The sequence below is a fragment of the Homo sapiens genome, chromosome 19, assembly GCF_000001405.40.
Source record: "Homo sapiens chromosome 19, GRCh38.p14 Primary Assembly".
Taxonomy (NCBI): domain Eukaryota; kingdom Metazoa; phylum Chordata; class Mammalia; order Primates; family Hominidae; genus Homo; species Homo sapiens.
Window position 1 is genome coordinate 11321760 of NC_000019.10, and position 20379 is coordinate 11342138.

The window sequence follows — 20379 nt, forward strand, 5'->3', positions numbered from 1 at the left end:
ATCGAATGTTCTAAGCAGAGGAGGAATGCGCTGTGACTCAGGTGTTCACAGGTGCCCTCTTGCTGCTGGGGAGAGAACTGAGCTTTTTACTAGAAGTAGTTGAGGGAAATAGTGTCCTCCCTACCTTCCATATAACAGAGCTTTCCAAGGTCAAGGTGGTGGCCATGGGACCCAGTGGGAGGCAGCCCGAGGCCCGGTGAGGTTTCTGCTGTGTCTTGAAGAGCCCTTGACTGATATCTGCTTAGTTGCAAATCAAACCCCCTTTCCCAGAAACGCACTTCACTAATGGAAATAAAAGCACAACTATATTTGGGCACGACGGATTTAAGTTTTTCTTGTTGAGAAGAGTACATCTTTCCAAACTGGACATCAAGGAATTGCTACACAGAAGAACCACATCCAGGATAGAAAGGACCAGCCAGAGCTCGTTCAGTAGTGTATTTCAGAATCATCAGGGAGGAGCCGGTAGCAGAATTATCCCGTTAACACTGAGACCACATTTCACCTGTTACTTATTTTTCTAAATGGAGTAGGAGAGAAAGATGCTAAAATGTGATCTTGGGAGGAGTCCCCCAGTCCCCCGAAAAAGAAGAAGAAAAAAAAAAAGCAGAACTCCAAACCCCTGTGGTCATGGCAATTTCCCATCAAAACTGCCCATGTAAAATAAACACAAGCTGCTAAAAGTGAATGTTAAGAAGGAAGGCACTGGTTAGTGGGTGGTCCTGACCAATCCCCTGGAGCTGGAGAGGGGTTTTCCCACGGCCTTTGGTTTAATGTGTCTGTAAACTCAACAAACCTCCGTTTCCCTGAGGTAATCTGCAAAAACATCAGTTTTCAGTCCCCAGAGACCATTTCCAATTAAACCTCACCCCCCAAATCATTCAATGTAACATTTGCCTTATTTTTAGAAGAAACAAATGTTCCCATATTATTCCCAGTTTTTGAGAGAATCCTGAGGCAGCTCTCTCGGCTGCTACTTGAAGTTGAATTCTTGAAAAATCTTATGTAAACAGAAAGCTTAGGCCAGGTCAGGAGTAAAATGCAGTCAAAGCTGTTTCTCATCACACAGGTGATTACAGGTTAGCTCTGCCCTATTCAAGACAATCTGATCCATTCCTTTTTTTGACAGCAGTTTAGAGACAATTGGCCAACAAAACCAGCCTGGCCAACAAGGTGAAACCGTCGCTACTAAAAATGCAAAACTTAGATGGGCGTGGTGGCAGGTGCCTGTAGTCCCAGCTACTTAGGAGGCTGAGACAGGAGAATCGCTTGAACCCGGGAGGTGGAGGTTGCAGTGAGCTGAGATCATGCTACTGCACTGCGGCCTGGGCGACGAGCGACTCTCTGTCTTAAAAAAAAAAAAAACAAAAAAACCTCAGCAGGCCATACTGCATCTTGAGAAGTCTTTTTGAAGCTACTTTAGTTTGACTTTAGTGTTAAAGTAGCTAAAAATTTTTGACTCCCGCCCACATATTCAGATACCCTCACTTTGTGCATAGGATTTGTCCATTACACCTCAGTCATCTAATTTGTTGGTATAAAAGATACCCTCGGCTGGGCGTGATGGCTCACGCCTGTAATCCCAGCACTTTGGGAGGCCGAAGCAAGTGGATCACTTGAAGTCAGTTTGAGACAAGCCTCACCAACATGGTGAAACCCCTTCTCTACTAAAAATACAAAATTTAGCCGGGTGTGGTGGCAGGTGCCTGTAATGCCAGCTACTCGGGAGGCTGAGGCAGGAGAATCGCTTGAACCCTGGAGGTGGAGGTTGCAGTAAGCTGAGATTGTGCCACCGCACTCCAGCCTGGGCAATAGAGCGAGACTCTGTATCAAAAAAACAAATGAAAAAAAGATACCCCACTCCAAAGTTCTAAGGGTAGCCTCTGGTATGAAGAAACCAGGGCTCCCTAGAAATAAATCTAAACTTGAACCAGGCTTTCCCCCTCACACATACCCCAGGGAAGAGGCTGAGCTCATGAAAGCTGCAGGAAGTCATTTTGGCTTCAGGGGCTGGGAGAGCAGACACAACCTCTGAAACAGAGTCAGGGACGTGGGAACATAAAACATCCACTTAGCCATCCTAACAGTGCTGGTCCTGTGAAGGGGTGTTGGTTGGTGTTTGGGAGCAAAGAAAAGGTGCTGCGCCCCTAGAGTTTGGAATCTGATGGGCAGAAAGTGCCTCTAAACCGGAGGTCAAGATGTACATCTTCAAACTGCACACGTAACCTCTGAGCAGAAGCCCCTGGAGGTGGGGACCCCAGCTTCAGAGACTCCCCGGCACTGATCACAGTCCATCCCCCCCATTCACATAAGGTCCTGCCACTCTCAGGCTGTCTACAAAGTACAAGCAGTGACAGCAAGTTACTCAATCCTACCTCCTCACCCCTTCCGCCCAACCCCCAGCATCCCTTAGAAGTGACCCCTAGTTTGAGGCTGTGGTGAGCTATGATTGCACCACTGCACTCCAGCCTGGGTGACAGAGCCAGACCATCTCAAAAAGAAAAAAAAAAAAAAAGAAGTGACTCCTCCATTAGCAAAAATTGTCACATCCCTGGGCCCTGCCGATGACAAGGATTGGGAAATGGACATTGGGTCTTGAAGGGCCCCCCTCAAGTCGGAGCCCAGGTGCTTACATCAGAAAGTCGCCGACAACTGCCTGCGGTGGCTGGGAACGTTGCTTCATTTCCTTTTCTAGCAGGATGCATGATTGGGCAAGAACTTGCTTAAAACACAACCAGCTAAACAGCTAAACAGGGCCTGGGAGGGAGGCCCCAGCCCCAGGCTCCTGGCTCTGAGGTTAATTAACTTCTGGCCGAAAGCCCAGAGCCGGAGTGCTAGGGGTTGGGCGAATCTCTGCCCAGTCTAATGTGGTCCATAGTTCCAGAATTCACTTCAGGATCAGAGATGTGGTGAACACAGCAAAAACAGTGGCAGGGTCGTGGGTGATGTGGATCTTGGGGGAAGCTTGGAAGGCACTTCTGGGGTCCCTGAAGCCGGGGGGTTGAGGGGATCTGACTCCCTGTCCCTTCTACAATGGGAAAAGGCTGCTTCAATGCTGCTTTTCGCAAGTAGAGGGTCTGCAGGGGTCAAAGGGATCACCATCCCACCTTGGAATCCAGAAAGTTCGTGGGGGCAGGCTCAGAGACCAGCCTGCAGGACCTGAGAAAGAGGCGCCGCCTTCCCTGGATGAACTCCAAGAACCCACACTGTGCGAGGAAGATGAACCATCTTCCACCAGCTTGGGAATATCAGTCCTGCCCAACCCAGAAGAGACCTGGAAAATGGTTCTAAGCTAGAAGGCACCACGGATGCCCCTCCATCAGAAAGAGTGGGACGTGTCACCCATGGCCACCCTCAACACACCCTGGAAAGCAGCAAGCTCATGCACGTCAGTGTCCCTGGGCCTCTGCCTGCCATGCAGAGCTGAGTCCCCATGGTCCGCAGCCTCCCACCGGGGCTGCCTGAGGAACCTGGCAGCCACGGCGACATTGTGAAGGAATGAGCCATGCAGGAGTCGGGGAGCAGTTGACAGGAGGGAAGGGATTGCCCTGAGCTTGGAGATAACCACTGTGGCTCACGCCTCGATCACAGTCCCTGCCGAGGCAGGAGAGGGGTGGGTGGGGGGTTGGGGGCCATCTCTAGCAGCTGCAGCTGCTGGGCTGGGGGGCTGGAGCATCCCCCACGGCCGGGCCTTTCCCGTTGCTGCCTGAGCTGGAGCTGGGTTCCAGGGACTCGTTCATCTTCTCGCAGATGACATCCACCAGGCGCTCGAAGACCTGCTTCACATTGATGTTCTCCTTGGCACTGGCTTCAAAGAACTCGAAACCTGGATGAATGTTAAGGTGGGGACACTCGTAAGACCCCTGAGGGCAGAGTCTCAGCTGTGGCATCACAGAAACCTGGCTTCTAAGCCTAGTTCTGCTCTTTATCCTGCTGTGGGACCTTGGTTGTGTGCCTTTGCCACTCCAAGCCTCAGTTTGCTCACCTGTAAAATGGGAATGATGATCCTACCAATGATAAAAATCTGTGGCAGGCCAGGCGCAGGGGCTTATGCCTGTAATCCTGGCACTAAAGGAAGCTACGGCGGGAGGATCGCTTGAGGCCAGGAGTTCAAGACCAGCCTGGGCAACATAGCAAGGCCCTATCTCTACAATAAATTTTTTTAAAAAGTAGATGGGCGGCCAGGTGAGGAGGCTCATGCCTATAATCCCAGCACTTTGGGAGGCCGAGGCGGGAGGATCATTTGAGGTCAGGAGTTCAAGACCCGCCTGACCAACATGGTGAAACCCCATCTCTACTAAAAAGACAAAAAATTAGCTGGGCATGGTGGCACGCGTCTGTAATCCCAGCTACTCGGGAGGCTGAGGCAGGAGAATTGCTTGAATCTGGGAGGCGGAGGTTATAGTGAGCTGAGATCACACCACTGTACTCCAGCCTGGGCAACAGAGCGAGATTCTATTAAAAAAAAAAAAATAGAGGGGCATGGTGGCGTTCACCTGCAGTCTCAGCTACTCGGAAGGTTAAGGCAGGAGAATGGTTTGAGCCCAGGAGGTCAAGGCAGCAGTGAGCCATGATCACACCACTGCACACCAGCCTGGGTGATGGAGCAAGACCCTGTCTCAAAAACAAAACAAAACGAAACCCTGCGGCTGCAGCCATGGTCTGGACAATCCTAAGATCTCTTTGTCACAAGGCAGTGGCTGCAAGAGTATAGGTGGGAGGGTACATGAAGAGTTCTGCTGCCCTGCGGCCATGGCAGTGCCCACAGGTGGCTATAGCTCAGCTTCCACCCAATTTCTGCTGCACAGAAAGGCATGGTCAGGAGACCCATCAAGTCACATTTTCCATTGCTTTTTTTAAAAGAGAAACGGTCTCTCTCTATTGCCCAGGCCGGGGTGTAGTGGTATGAACATGGCTCATTGCAGCCTCAACCTCCTGGGCTCAAGCGATCCTCCCGCCTTGGCCCCCTGAGTAGCTGGGGCTACAGGTGTGCCCCACCATGCCCGGCTAATTTTTCAATTTTTTCTTTTGTAGAGGTGGGGGTCTCGCTATGTTGCGCAGGCTGGTCTTGAACTGCTGGCCTAAAGCGATCCCCCCGCCTAGGCCTCCCAAAGTGCTGGGTTTACCAGCGTGAGCCACCACGCTGGGCTTCCTGCATCCTTTTAAGGTTCCTGAGGGTCTGCCTGAGAGGAGCTGTCCCTGAATCTCCATGCAGCCCCACCTGCCACATCACCAAGGTAAGCCAGGAATTCAGACAAACGCCTGCCACGTTACACGTGGCCAAGGGTAAGTGGACCTGTCTTCTCTGTGCGTCATGCTGAACTATGAAAATGGAATCATAATGAGTTAGCTGTGTAATTACCCATTTATTATCTGTCTCCGCTACTAGAAAGCCAGCTCCAGGCAGGCAGGATTTCCGCCCATGGCTGTACCCAGTGCCCGACACAGAGAGGGTGCTTAGAAACTGTCTGCTGAATGGTTGAATGAATGAATGGGTAAATGAACAATAGCAGGGGCAGGACATGAACTTAGATCTCCTACTGTCAGCCCAGAGATATCAAAGCCATCCCACTGTCTTCCTGGGCAAATCTGGTGTTTCCTTATCCACGCGTGGCTTTGCCTCATACCATCTGTGTTCTTTATTTTTCTTTTTGTTGAGACAGAGTTTTGCTCTTGTCGCCCAGGCTGGAGTGTAACGGCACGATCTCAGCCCACTGCAACCTCCGTCTCCCGAGTTCAAGCGATTCTCCTGCTTCAGCCTCCCAAGGAGCTGGGACTGCAGGTGTGAACCACCATGCCAGGCTAATTTTTGTATTTTCAGTAGAGACAGGGTTTCGCTATTTTGGCCAGGCTGGTATCGAACTCTTGACCTCAGATGATCCACCTGCCTCAGCTTCCCAAAGTGCTGGGATTACAGGCATGAACCACCGTGCCCAGCTTATTTTTCTGATATTAATCAGGCGTGGTGGTATGCGCCTGTAATCCCAACTACTCAGGAGGCCAAGGCAGGAGAATCACTTGAACCCAAGAGTTCAAGACCAGCCTGGGTAACATAGGGAGACCCTGTCTCTAAAACAAATAAAAATTTTAAAAAGGAAAAAAAATACATTTTTTGGATGTCATTCAATAGAGAAATTTACTGGAGAAACTAGAAACTACAGAAAAGTATTAAGACAGCCTATAATCCCAGTACTTTGGGAGACTGAGGCAGGTGGGTACCTGAGCTCACAAGTTTGAGACCAGCCTGGGCAACATAGCAAGACCCAGTCTCTAAAGAAAATATAAAAATTAAGGCCAGGCATGGTGGTTCACGCCTGTAATACCAGCATTTTGGGAGGCCAAGGTGAGCGGATCACTTGAGGTCTGGAGTTTGAGACCAGCCTGGCCAACATGATGAAACCCCGTCTCTACTAAAAATGCAAAAATTAGCTGGCCATGGTGGTGCACACCTGTGATCCCAGCTACTTAGGAGGCTGAAGCAGGAGGATCACTTGAACCTGGGAGGCGGAGGTTGCAGTGAGCCGAGATTGTGCCATTGTACTCCAGGCTGGGTGACAGAACAAGATATTATCTCAAAAAAAAAAAAAAAAAAAAGAAGAAGGTTGGGGGGTGCCAGGCGTGGTGGCTCACGCCTGTAATTCCAGCACTTTGGGAGACGGAGGTGGGCGGATCACGAGGTCAGGAGTTCGAGACCAGGGCCAATACGGTGAAACCCCGTCTCTACTAAAAATACAAAATTTAGCTTTGTGTGGTGGCACGTGCCTGCAGTCCCAGCTACTCAGGAGGCTGAGGCAGAAGAATTGCTTGAACCCGGGAGGTGTAGGTTGCAGTGAGCCGAGATTATGCCACTGCACTCCAGCCTGGCAACAGAGCAAGACTCCATCTCTAAATAAATAAATAAATAAATATTAGCCAGGTGTGGTGGCATGCACCCGTAGTCCCACCTACTTGGGAGGCTGAGGTGGGAGGATGACCTAAGCCAGGGAAGTTGAGGCTGCAGTGAGCTGAGGTCATGCCATTGCACTCCAGCCTGGGCAACAGAGTGAGACCCTGTCTCAAAACAAAAACACAAAGAAATGTATGGAGATAGAGATAAAAGTAATTTGTAATCTCATCACTTGGAAACAATTACTGTTGGCGTTTTGCTATTTAGCTTTCTAGTCTTTATTCATCTTTTTTTTTTTTTTTTTAAGACAGAGTCTCCCTCTGTTGCCCAGGCTGGAGTGCAGTGGTATAATCATAACTCACTACGGCCTTGACTCTTGGGCCCCCCTCAGTCTCCCAAGTAGCTGGGACTATAGGGGTGTGCCACCACACACAGCCGATTTTTGGTATTTTTTATAGGGGTGGGGCTTCACCATGTTGCCCATGCTGGTCTCTAACTGCTAGACTCAAGTGATCCTCTGCCTTGACCTCCCAAAGTGCAAGGATTACAGGCATGAGCCACCATGCCCAGCCTTTAGTCTTTTTCTATATAAATATGTCATTTGTTGGGGTTAGGTTTGTAGGGGATGTGTGTGTGCACATGTATGTGTGTCTGGCTTTTTTTCCTACAAAATTGGAATCAGGCCAGGCGTGGTGGCTCACACCTGTAATCCCAGCAGTTTGGGAGGCCGAGGCAGCGGATCACCTGAGGTCAGGAGTTTGATACCAGCCTGACCAACATGGTGAAACCCCATCTCTACTAAAAATACAAAAGTAGCCAGGCGTGGTGGCACATGCCTGTAATCCCAGCTGTTCGGGAGGCTGAGGCAGGAGAATTGCTTGAACCTGGGAGGCGGAGGTTGCAGCGAGCCAAGATTGTGCCACTGCACTCCAGCCTGGGCAACAAGAGCGAAACTCCATCTCAAAAAAAAAAATAAAACAAAAGAAAAGAAAAAAAAATTGGGATCAAATTCTGTGTCCTGCTTTGTATGCCAATCTTCTTTTTGTGTGTGTGTGAGATACAGGCTCACTCCATCACCCAGGCTGGAACGCAATGGCGCGATCTTGGCTCATTGCAACCTCCGCCTCCCGGGTTCAAATGGTTCTCATACCTCAGCTTTCCAAGTAGCTGGGATTACAGGCACGTGCCACCACACCCAGCTAATTTTTGTATTTTTGGTAGAGACAGGGTTTTACCATGTTGGCCAGGCTGGTCTCGAACTCCTGACATCAAGTGATCTGCCCACTTCAGCCTCCCAAAGTGCTAGGATTACAGGCGTGAGCCACCGAACCTGGCCTGTACTCCAATATTTTAAACATAATAACAGAAAGTGAGAATCCCCCTTTACCCCGAGACCCCAGATATAATCCGCAAGTAGGTGTGGAAAGCACCTCCAAGTATTCCAGCCCATCGCGGGCGTTAACTGATTTCACCACTTCCAGGCTAACTGGGGATCCAGGGCCCTGCCCCACAGAACAGAGATCCAGTTTCTCCAACAAAGCAATGGCAAGAATAAAAGGGGAAAGGGACTGGTTATGGCTTAGAGGTCAGCAAACCTCCTCTGTAAAAGGCCAGATCGTAAATATTTTAGGCTTTCTGGGTCATATGGTCTCTGTCTCAATTACTCAATTTCACGCTTGAAGCACTGTTTATACCCTTTTCTGTATTGAGACAGCCTGTAATCACAGACGTGTGATTACCATAAAAATAGCAACCATAGACAATGCATCAACAAATAGGCATCAACTGAGCACGGGTGTGAGTTCACTCCTGTGATCCCAGCACTTTGGGAGGCCAAGGTGGGAGGACTGCTTAAGCCCAGGAGTTCAAGATCAGCCCAGACAACATGGCAAGACCTATCTCTTAAAATTTTTTTCTTTTTTGAGACGGAGTCTCGCTCTCTTGCCCAGGCTGGAGTGCAGTGGCACGATCTCGGCTCACTGCAACCTCTGCCTCCCAGGTTCAAGCAATTCTCCTGCCTCAGCCTCCTGAGTAGCTGGGATTACAGGTGTGTACCACCACACCCGGCTAATTTTTTTGTATTTTTAGTAGAGACGGGGTTTCACCATGTTGGCCAGGGTGGTCTCAAGCTTCTGACCTTGTGATCCACCCGCCTCGGCCTCCCAAAGTGCTGGGATTACAGGCATGAGCCACTGCGCCCGGCAAAAAAATTTTTTTTTAATTAGGCAGGTGTGGTGGAGTACACCTGGCATCCCAGCTACTTGGGAGGCTGAGGTGGGAGGATCACTTGAGCCCAGGAGTTGGAGGCTGCTTTGAGTTATGATCGTGCCACTGCACTCCAGCCTGAGCACCAGAGAGAGACCTTGCCTCAAAAAAAAAAAAAAAATTTAAAAAATAAATGGTTGGGAGGTTGAGGCGGGTGGATCACCTGAGGTCAGGAATTCCAGACCAGCCTGGCTAACATAGTGAAACCCCATCTCTACTAAAGATACAAAAATTAGCCAGGCCCCGTGGTGGTGGGTGCCTGTAATCCCAGCTACTCAGGAGGCTGAGGCAAGAGAATCACTTGAACTGGGGAGGCGGAGGTGGCAATGAGCCGAAATCACGCCATTGCACTCCAGCCTGGGCGACAAGAGCAAGACTCCGTGTAAAAAAAAAATTCTTTTAAAAGGGTATAGCTGTGTCTCAGAAAAACTTCATTTATAGATACAAATTTGAATTTCATATAAATTTCCCATGTCATATTATTTTTTTTCAACCACTTAAAAATGTAAAAACCAACCAGGTGCCGTGGCTCATGCCTGTAATCCCAGCACTTTGGGAGGCTGAGGCAGGCCGACTGCTTGAGCCCAGGAGTTCAAGACCAGCCTGGGCAATATAGTGAGACCTCATCTCTACAAAAAATAAAAATAAAAAATTAGCCAGTGTGCTGGCTTATACTAGTAGTCCCAGCTACTTGAAAGGCTGAGGCAGCAGAATCACTTGAGCCCAGGTGTCTGAGGCTACAGGGAGCTTTAAACTTATTTTGTAGAGTTGGGGTCTCACTATGTTGCCCAGGCTGGTCTCTAACCCCTGGGCTCAAGCAATCCTCCCTCCTCAGCCTCCTAAAGTGGTGGGATCACACCACTGTACTCCAGCCTGGGTGAAAGAGTGAGGCTCTGTCTCTATTATTTAAAAAACGACGACGACAACAAAACAGCTGGAGTTGCATAGTGAAGTGTTTACAGACAAAAGGTTTCGATGTCAAGGGTTTGCTCTCAATGCTCTAGGAAAAAAAGGAAAAGTATTTTGGGGGAATAGATGATTCAAGATTGAAAAAATGTTGAGACCTAATTAAGCTGAATAATGTTTTATCAAAGTCTATTATACATTCCTTTCTACTTGTGAATGTATTTGAACTTTTCTTAGATGGAGTTTCACTCTTCTTACCCAGGCCGGAGTGCAATGGTGCGATCTCAGCTCACACAACCTCCGCCTCCTGGGTTCAAGTGATTCTCCTCCCTCAGCCTCCTGAGTAGCCGGAATTACAGGCATGCGCCACCACGACCGGCTAATTTTGTATTTTTAGTAGAGATGAGGTTTCACCATGTTGGTCAGGTTGGTCTCAAACTCCTGACCTCAGGTGATCCGCCTGCCTCGGCCTCCCAAAGTGCTGGGATTACAGGCGTGAGCCACCACGCCTGGCCGAACATTTCTCATTTTATTTCATTGTTTTTTGAGACAAGGTCTCACTCTGTCACCCAGGCTGGCATACAGTGGTGCAATCTTGGCTCAATGCAACCTCTGCCTCCCAGGCTCAAGCGATCCTCCCACCTCAGCCTCCTGAGTAGCTGAGACTATAGGTGTGAGCCACCATGCTTAGCTAATTTTTGCATTTTTTTGTAGAGACAGGGTTTACCATGTTGACCAGGCTGGTCTCAAAGTCCTGGGCTTCAGCGATCTACCCACCTTGCCCTCCCAATGTGCTGAGAGTATTTGAACATTTTTATCACAAAAAGTTATTATTTTCTTCCTTTTTTGAGACAGGGTCTCGCTATATTGCCCAAGCTGGTCTCAAATTCTTGGCCTGAAGCAATCCTCCTAATTCAGTCTCCAGAGTAGCTGGGATTACAAGCACATGCCACCATTCCTGGCCAAAGTTATTTTTTTAAAAAAGTGTAGGCCGGGACTATAAAAACCAACCAGGTGCAGTGACTCCATCTCAAAAAAAAAAAGTGTTAAGAACATCTGTGAATCAAGCTGGCAGATTTCTTGCCTCATGTGTCCAAAGAAATATATGTAAAAATGACTGCTGCAGCTGCATTTGTCAGAGGAAAAGGCTAGAAATAATCTCCATGGCTGTCAACAGAGGAAAAGGTTAAGGAAACACGAAATGGAATAGTACACAGCCATGCAAAAGAATGAGCCAGCTCTGGGGCTGATGGAGAAATATTTCTTTTTTTTTTTTTTTTTGAGAAAGAGTCCTGCTCTTCTACCCAGGCTGGAGTGTAGTGGCGTGATCTTGGCTCACTGCAAGTTCCGCCTCCCGGGTTCACACCATTCTCTTGCCTCAGCCTCCCGAGAAGCTGGGACTACCGGCGCCCACCACCACGCCTGGCTAATTTTTTTGTATTTTTAGTAGAGATGGAGTTTCACAGTGTTAGCCAGGATGTTCTTGATCTCCTGACCTCATGATCCGCCCTCTTCGGCCTCCCAAAGTGCTGGGATTACAAGCGTGAGCCACTGCGCCCGGCAGAGAAATATTTCTAGGATATATTATTTAGTAGAAAAGTTCAAAGTGCAGGAAAGGGTATATACAGTAGGGAACATCTGTGTAAAACAAAAAAGTAGCCAATGTGTTGTCAATGCCTGTGGGTGCTCAGCATATTTCTGGAAAGAGATACAAGAATCAGAGAAGCTGGGAGACCAGAACTGCAGGTGGGGAGTGGGTTATTGCCTTAGTCTCTTCCTGTGCCTTCTGAATTTTGCACATAGGGTGCTGGCTTGGATGGGGCTTATGGGAAAGCTGGGGTTAAAAACTGATTGCAAGCATCAGTTTCTTTCTTTCCTTTTTTTTTTTTTCTTTTGAGACAGAGTCTCCCCCCATTGCCCAGGCTGGAGTGCAGTGGCGTGATATCGGCTCACTGCAGCCTCCACCTCTCAGGTTCAAGTGATTCTTCTGCCTCAGCCTCCCAAGTAGCTGGGATTACAGGCGTCTGTCACCATGCCCGGCTAATTTTTGTGCATTTTTAGTAGAGACGGGGTTTTGCCATGTTGGCCAGGCTGGTCTAGAACTCCTGGCCTCAGGTGATCTGCCTGTCTCAGCCTCCCAAAGTGCTGGGATTTCAGGCATGAGCCACCACGCCCGGCCACAAATAAAGTTTTATTGGCAAACAGTCACACCCATTCATTTATGCATTGTCTGTGGCTGCTGTCATGCAGAGTTGGGTAGTTGCCATAGAGACTGTATGGCCAAAAATATTTACTATCTGGCCCTTTAAGAAAAGGTTTGCTGACTCCTGGACTAAAGAAAGCAGTCGTATCCACTATTTTGCTAGAACAAAACAGCCAGGCACGGTGGCTCACGCCTGTAATCCCAACACTTCGGGAGGCTGAGGCAGGTGGATCACCTGTCAGGGGTTCAAGACCAGCCTGGCCAACATGGCAAAACCCCATCTCTACTGAAAATACAAAAATGAGTCAGGCATGCTGCGCACACCTGTAATCCTGGATACTCAGGAGGCTGAGGAAGGAGAATCACTTGAATGCAGGAGGTAGAGGTTGCAGTGAGCCAAGATCGCACCACTGCACTCTAGCCTGGGCAACAGAGGGAGACTCCATCTCAAACAAAAACAAAAACAAACCATAAAGAACATCCCCTTGGGCTGGTGTGGTGGCTCATGCCTGCAATCCTAGCACTTTGGGAGGCTGAGGAGGGAGGATCACTTAAGGTCAGGAGTTCGAGGCCAGCCTGGGAAACATAGCGAGACCCTATCTCCACGCAAAATTAAAAAAAAAGGCCAGGCATGGTGCCTCACGCTTGTAATCCCAGCACTTTGGGAGGCCAAGGCGGGCAGATCACGAGGTCAGGAGATGGAGACCATCCTGGCTAACATGGTGAAACCCCATCTTTACTAAAAATATAAAAAATTAGCTGGGCATGTGGCACGCGCCAGTAGTACCAGCTACTTGGGAGGCTGAAGCAGGAGAATTGCTTGAACCTGGGAGGTGGAGGCTGCAGTGAGCCAATACGGCACCACTGCACTCCAGTCTGGGTGACAGAGTGAGACTCCAACTCAAAAAAATAAAATAAACCTGGGAAGCGGAGCTTGCAGTGAGCCGAGATCGCGCCACTGCACTTCAGCCTGGGCGACAGAGCGAGACTCCGTCTCAAAAAAATAAAAAATAAAAAAATAAAGAACATCCCCATCCTTTTCCATGGCTGCATAGTATTCCACCATGTGAATATACTTTATGTCCACTTGGTTCTCCAACTGTGAGACACCTGGGGGGGATCTGTAGGTTTCACTCCTACTAATACTACTACTACACTCCACACACCATATCCCACATGGGTGAGGATATCTCTAGGATCAATTTCCAGAAATGGTTTTGCTGGGTTCCCAGGGGATAGGCAGTGGGGCAGTGGGAGTTCCTGCGCGTGGATCCCCTGCAATTAGACGGGACATGTGGCATACACATGGGTATCTTCCTGGGCAGATCCTCAAAGGATCAGTGACTGGGTTGGACCCTGAATCAGAGGATGGGGATGAGGGTTTGGTTCTGGGAGACCAGGGCCTGTGGCCCAGGCTGGGCACTAACCAAGGTCGTCGGCGAGCCTCCGGCCATCCTCAGCAGGCACAACACGTTCGTCCTCCAGGTCACACTTGTTCCCCACCAGGATGACCTGGGCGTTGTCCCAGGAGTAGGTCTTGATTTGCGTGGCCCTGCAGAGTTACCAGTGGTGAGCCATGAGCCGGGGGGGTTAGGGGTCAGAGGAGAGGGCAAAGATCAGGGGTCCATGATCAGCAAGCACTCACCAGTCCTGCACAGCGGCAAAGGATTCCTGATTGGCGATGTCATACATGAGCAGGAAGCCCATGGCTCCCCGGTAGTAGGCCGTGGTGATGGTGCGGTAGCGCTCCTGGCCCGCTGTGTCCTGGACAAATGGCAGTGGCAGTTGGCTGGGAACTACCTGTTTCCCAGTCCACCCCTGTCTTAGAGGGGCACTGCCCTGTACTCATAGCCCCAGCCTTACGGGGGAGACACAGACTTGCTTGTACAACCTCTGGTCTGATGGAGAATACACAGATCCTGCCCTCACAACCCCAGTCTGATGGGGGAGGCATGGATTCATTACCAAGGGATCTCCCCAGTCTGATGAGGGAGAGACTTGGGCTTGCCCTTGAGGGGTTCCAAGTCTCAGGGGTCAGTGGCCTCTCACAGACTTATGAGCCCCTTTGACCTTGTCTCTAAGAACCAACTGGGCCAGATGGTACCATCCTGACAGGACACCTTGGTACTCTTGCTACCACGATGATTGTTACCAGCGGCTAAGTTGGGAGAGGGAGCTAGGTGTGACTCTGCAGACCAGGTCGGTCCAATGGGGGTCCCAGGGTCCCCTCTAAGATGGTACCCAAAACTCTTCCCTGTTGGTCACCAGCACCTGGGACCTTTCTTTTTTCTTTCTTTCTTTTTTTAATAGATGGGGTCTTGCCCTGTCACCCATGATGGAATGCAGCGGTGCAATCATAGCTCACTGCAGCCTCGAACTCCTGGGCTCAAGCAATCCTCTTGCCTCAGCCTCCTGAATAGCTGAGACTACAGGCGGGAGCTACCATGCTGGGCTAATGTTTAAAGTTTTTTTTAGAGATGAGATCTCGCTATGTTGTCCAGGCTGGTCTGGAACCGCTGGGCTCAAGTGATGCTCCACCTCAGCCTCCCAAAGTGTTGGGATTACAGGCATAAGCCACCACGCTAGTGTCACAAGTACTTCAAACATGTCTTAGGTTAGTATCATCTCCGCAATCAGACCCCCAGGAATAATACTGTTTCCCGCCAGGCACAGTATTACAGTGGCTCATGCCTGTAATCCCAGCGCTTTGGGAGGCCGAGGTGGGCGGATCACGAGGTCAGGAGTTCGAGACCAGCCTGGCCAACATGGTGAAACCCCATCTCTATTAAAAGTATAAAAAATTAGCCGGGTGTGGTGGCGTGCACCTGTAATCCCAGCTACTCGGGAGACTGAGGCAGAAGAATTGCTTGAACCCAGGAGACGGAGGTTGCAGTGAGCCAACATTGTGCCATTGTGCTCCAGCCTGGGCGACAGAGCAAGACTCTGTCTCGAGAGAAAAAAAAAAAAAAAAGGTCGAGGCAGGAGAATCGCTTGAACCCAGGAGATGGAGGTTGCAGTGAGCCGAGATCCCGCCACTGCCCTCCAGCCTGGGCAACAGAGTGAGACTCCGTCTCAAAAAAAAAAAAAGAACCCTCCAATGAACTTTCCTGGAGGGACCCCACCCCCAACCCACAGCCAGCCTCCCAGCCTACCCAGATCTGCAGCTTGATCCTCTTGTCATGGCGGTAGACGGTCTTGACCTTGAAATCGATGCCCACAGTACTGACGAAGGCGGGAGTGAAGGAGTCGTCCGCGTATCGGAACAGGAAGGAAGTCTTGCCCACACTGCTGTTGCCTATCAGTAGCAGTTTGAACATATAGTCGAAGTTCTGATCTGCTGCATCCCGTGGGCCTGCCTGGGTGTCTCCAGCTGATGCCATCTTGGCACAAGCCTCCTGGGACAGGGAGACCTGAAATCCTCAGGGAGAGGAGACGGGCGTCCTGCAGGGGAATCAAACATCAAGAACAGCTCCTGTGAATGCACCAGGCCTGGATTCAAATCTCAGCTCGGTCACTCGGAGACCAAGTGATGCTGGATGCATCGCTTGCCCCCTCTAGACCTCAGTGTCCTCTTCTAAAAAATGGGATGTTTGTCACAGTCCCTTCCTGAAAGAGTAGTTGGTTGTGAGCCTAAAATGAGTTTCTTTCTTTCTTTTTTTTTTTTTTTAGAGACAAGATCTCGCTCTGTTGCCTGAGGCTGGAGCGCAGTGGCGTGATCATAGCTCACTGCAGTCTTGACCTCCTGGGCTCGAGTGATCCTCCTGCCTCAGCCTCCCAAGTAGCTGGGACTACAGACATGCCACCACATCAGGCTAATTTAAAAAAAATTTTTTTGTAGAGATGGGGTCTCATTATGTTGCCCATGCTGGTTTCAAACTCCTCTGCTCAAGCAATCCTCCTGCCTCAGCCTTCCAATGTGCTAGGATTACAGGCATGAGCCACCACGCCCGACCTAAAATGTGTTTCTTTATTCATTCAACAAATGCTTACTCTCTGCCGGGCCCTGTTCTCTGTGGAAATGCAGCTGTGAATAGGACAAGAAAAAGTCCATCCTCGGGTGGTCACGTTCCTTCCAGTGGGAAGGTATTAACACACGTAACGGTCATTAGACAGTGCCTGGTATAGAGCTGGGGCACAAAAAATGTGACTGCTGTTTAATCTTCACACCCTGTGGCGTAACTGAGTCTGTATTGGGGTGGAGGGTGGGGAGACCTTTCCTATCTGGAAACCCAGAGGCCTAGCAAAGGGTTCAAGTGCAAGGCCGAGGGTAAGGGGCTCTGGCCCCTGCAGAACTAGATTCTGGAGAAGGCACAGGTGTGGACTTCGCCCCAGCGTGTGCAGCCGGTGTGGCCCAGGTGTAAGCTGGGGTGGGGTGGGGGGAGGACCTGCCAGCTGGATAAGCTGGATAGAGCCCCTGATTAAGGCTTGGGTGTTGACTTTGGCAGGTGTCAGCCACTGGGGCGCCTGCCGCCCACCAACTCATGCCAAATACAACCCCTTCTCTGAGTTCCAAGGGGAAGGGGTTTTCTATGTACAGGGCCCAGGTTTAGAGTCCAGTTCTACCCCCTAAATGGGTACTGCTATTTTCTATTTGTCAAAGGGGCCAGGCCTGTCTCCTTCTGCCCAAGGCTGACTCACTCCAGCCCCAGTCCACGGAGGCAGGAGTGAGAGTCCTTATACCCAAGGAAACGATCCCAGCCACTTAATTAACACAACCCCACCACCACGACCACTGCCGCCCACCCTTGGTCTTTCCAGGCAATCTGTCCCACGGCTAGGCTCCTTGAATCTGCCCACACTCCAACATGCTGCTTCATCCGAGTCCAAGGTGCTCCCTCAACCCTCATAACCTCTCCCAGGCCTCAGTTTCCCCAGCTGTCTATGGCCGCTGCGGGAACCGCACGGAGAGGCTGCAGAAGGCCTGGATGCAGGCGGGGCAGAGGCAGAGACAGCCCTGGCACAGCTATTTCTCAACTGCCTTTGGGGCTTTTTTCCATTTTAAACCAGGACCCAACCGGCCCCACCCCGTGTTCCAGGAGAACGAGTTTAAGGAGGGGAAGAGAAGAGGCAGGAAACCTTTCCCCACGCAGGGCAGGGCCGCAAGGCTGGGGCCCCCACCTCCCCCAGCCTTAGCTCACCTGTGTCAGTCGGTCCCGCCTCTTTCTAACCATCTGCCGACCCTCCCTCAAGCCTGGCCCCGGAGGGCTCGCCTCTGTTCCCCTTCACTAGATTTGGGGCGCCCCAGCCAATGCAGGTGGACTCAGGAGTTTCCCCCATCACCATATGGTCCCAACGCCTGTCCCCAGCTGGGCTCTCTGCCCCGCCCGCGCCCCATCAGCGCTTCCCAAGTGCCCAGCTGGGTGGGGGCGAGGGCAGAGGCGTTCCCCGCAGCCCCGCCTTTGTTCCCCAGACCCCCTACCTTCCTCCCAAACCCCCGTACCCCACAGACCTGCTCGGATGCGGAGGGGCCGGGTGGGCTGCGCTCCTTCCCAGGGGTGACCTCGCGTAGGGGGCGCCGCCTGCAGGGGTTCCGCCTGTGAACTCGCTGCGGCTTGGCCCTGGCCGCGACCCCGACCCCGCAGCCGCAGAAGCCAGCAGCCTGCAGCCACCCGGATCCCGCGCGGGCTCCGCCCAGAAGGCGGAGGAAGGGCCGTTCCCGGAGCGGGGGATGGGGGAGGACGAAGAGGGGCCGAGTCTTGGGCGGGGCTTTCAGAGAGCGGGTGGGAGGGGCTGGAAGCTGCACCAAGCGTCTAGAGCCCGTCCTAGCCAAGCAACATCTCATTTTCCCAGCTGCTTGTAAAGAGCTTCTACTATACGCACGGCTGTTAAAAGCATAGAGTCTTGGGCCTGGTTCGAGTCCCAGCTCCACCACTTTCTAGTCTTGTGGCTTTGGACGCGTTACTTAACCTCTTTGAGCCTCAGTTTCCCCATCCGTCAAGTAGCTCATAGCGAGAGTACCCAACCTCACAGAGTTGTGGGAGGATTCTGATCTGAGTTAGTGTTTGTCAAGTGCAGTGCCGGCCTTAAAGTAGGCTAGGCCAGGCGCGGTGGCCTGTAATTACAGCAGTTTGGGAGGCCGAGGCAGGAGAATCACTTGAGGCCAGGAGTTTGAGACCAGCTTGGGCATCGTAAGGAGACCTCATCTCTACTAAAAATAACAAAAATTAGCCAGGTGTGGTGGCGTGCGTCTGTAACCCCAGCTACTTGGGAGGCTGAGGCAGGAGGATTGCTGGAGACATCGAGGCTGCAGTGAGCCTTGATTGCACCACAGCACTCCAGCCTGGGCAACAGAGCAAGACCCTGTTTCAAATAAATAAAAATAAACGAGAGCTGGGCGCGGTGGCTTATGCCTGTAATCCCAGTACTTTGGGAGGCCAAGGCAGGCGGATCACTTGAGGTCAGGAATTTAAGACCAGCCTGGCCAACATGGTGAAACCTCATCTCTACTAAAAAAAAAAAAAAAAAAATACAAATATTAGGGGCTGGGCACGGTGGCTCACACCTGTAATCTCAGCACTTTGGGAGGCCGAGGTGGGCAGATCACCTGAGGTCGGGAGTTCGAGACTAGCCTGGCCAACGTGAAGAAACCCTGTCTCTACTAAAAAATACAAAATTAGCCAGGCGTGGTGACGCATGCCTGTAATCCCAGTTACTCTGGAAGCTGAGGCAGGAGAATTGCTTGAACCCGGAAGGCGGAGGTTGCAGTGAGCCGAGATCACGCCACTGCACTCCAGCCTGGGCAAAAAGAGCGAAACTCTGTCTCAAATAAATAAATAAATATACAAAAATTAGCCGAGCATGGTGGTGCACACCTGTAATCCCAACTACTTGGGAGGCTGAGGCAGGAGAATCGCTTGAACCCAGGAGGTGGAGGTTGCAGTGAGCCGAGATCGCGCCACTGCACTCCAGCCTAGACGATGGAGTGAGACTCTGTCTCAAAAAAAAAAAAAAAAAAATTAAAAAATAAATGAGGCTGGGCACAGTGTCTGATGCCTGTAATCCCAGCCCTTTGGGAGGCTGAGGCAGGAGGATTCCTTGAGCTCAGGAGTTCAAGGCCAGCCTAGGCAACATAGAGATCCCAACTCTACAAAAAATTTTTTTGAAAATTAGCTGGCCACAAAAAAAAAAAAAAAAAAAAAAAGAAAAAGAAAAAAAGAAAAAAGAAAAAAAAATTAGCTGACCATGGGGGCACATACATGTAGTCTTAGCTACTCCGGAGGCTGAGGCAGGGGGATTGCTTGAGCCTGGGAGAGAGAGAGGCTTCAGTAGGTTATGACTGTGCCACTGCACTCCAGCCTAGGTGACAGGGCAAGACTTTATCTCTAAATAAAGAAAGTTAAAGTGGGTTGGATCCCTTTGTGAAATACCCAGGTTTTGCTGGTGTTGGAATCCCAGCAATTCCACCTTACTCAATTTGCTGAACTTCTCTGAGCCCCCACTGCCTCGTGGGAACAAAAGTAGCTGCCTCAAGAGCTGCCACGTGGATGAATGAGGATGAAGTGCATTAGTTAGGAAGGGCTGGGTTATGCTTAGTAACAAGCACTCCCAAAGACTTCACGGCCCCAACAGCTAAGGTTTGGTTCCCATGATGGTTGTTTTGTGAAGTGAAAATGCAGCAAATTATGTACTGTTTTGTAATACTTCTCCTTGGAAGGGACACATGCCACCTCTGCTCACATTTCATTGGCCAAAGCAAGTCACATGGCCACCCCCAATGTCAGTAGGGTGGGAAATATGATTGTCCTCTAGGATCAGAACCATCTGGGCCTGGTGGCTGGCGCCCGTAGTCCGAGCTACTTTGGAGGCTGAGGTGGGAGGATTGCTTGAGTCCAGGAGTTGGAGGCTGCAATGAGCTATCATCACGCCACTTCACTCCAGCTTGGGTGACAGAGCAAGACCCTGTCAAAAACAAGACAAAACAGGCTGGGCGTGGTGGCTCACGCCTGTAATCCCAGCACTTTGGGAGGCCGAAGCGAGCAGATGGCCTCAGGTCGGGAATTCAAGGCCAGCCTGGCCAGCACAGTGAAACTCCGTCTCTACTAAAAATAACAAAAATTAGATGGGCGTGGTGGCAGGTGTCTGTAATCCCAGCTACTCAGGAAGCTGAGGCAGAATAATC

General features: G+C 50.7%; 2 protein-coding genes across 2 annotated transcripts in view, besides 2 other annotated features; one reads left to right on the forward strand and one right to left on the reverse strand.

Moving 5' to 3' along the window:
• Nucleotides 1-5237, forward strand: part of TSPAN16 (tetraspanin 16) — a 30837-nt gene extending 25600 nt beyond the window's left edge. The window contains exon 7 of the mRNA NM_012466.4: nucleotides 5035-5237. Coding sequence (NP_036598.1) covers nucleotides 5035-5085 — 51 coding nt within the window. The 3' untranslated portion in view covers nucleotides 5086-5237. The remainder of the gene's footprint in view (nucleotides 1-5034) is intronic.
• Nucleotides 309-17898, reverse strand: RAB3D (RAB3D, member RAS oncogene family). The gene is made up of 5 exons (NM_004283.4): nucleotides 17710-17898; nucleotides 15413-15701; nucleotides 13906-14024; nucleotides 13688-13812; nucleotides 309-3826 (listed from the first exon to the last, which is right to left on the reverse strand). Exons 2-5 carry the CDS (start codon nucleotides 15638-15640, stop codon nucleotides 3639-3641), a joined length of 660 nt encoding a protein of 219 aa, NP_004274.1. The 5' UTR covers nucleotides 15641-15701; nucleotides 17710-17898; the 3' UTR covers nucleotides 309-3638.
• Nucleotides 2489-2698: an enhancer, noted in NCBI's record as "active region_14008". NCBI's record gives its function as "activates an Ori minimal core promoter by ATAC-STARR-seq in GM12878 lymphoblastoid cells {active_cell/tissue: GM12878}" and the evidence as "EXISTENCE:reporter gene assay evidence [ECO:0000049][PMID:35858748]".
• Nucleotides 17681-17940: a silencer, noted in NCBI's record as "silent region_10107". NCBI's record gives its function as "represses an Ori minimal core promoter by ATAC-STARR-seq in GM12878 lymphoblastoid cells {active_cell/tissue: GM12878}" and the evidence as "EXISTENCE:reporter gene assay evidence [ECO:0000049][PMID:35858748]".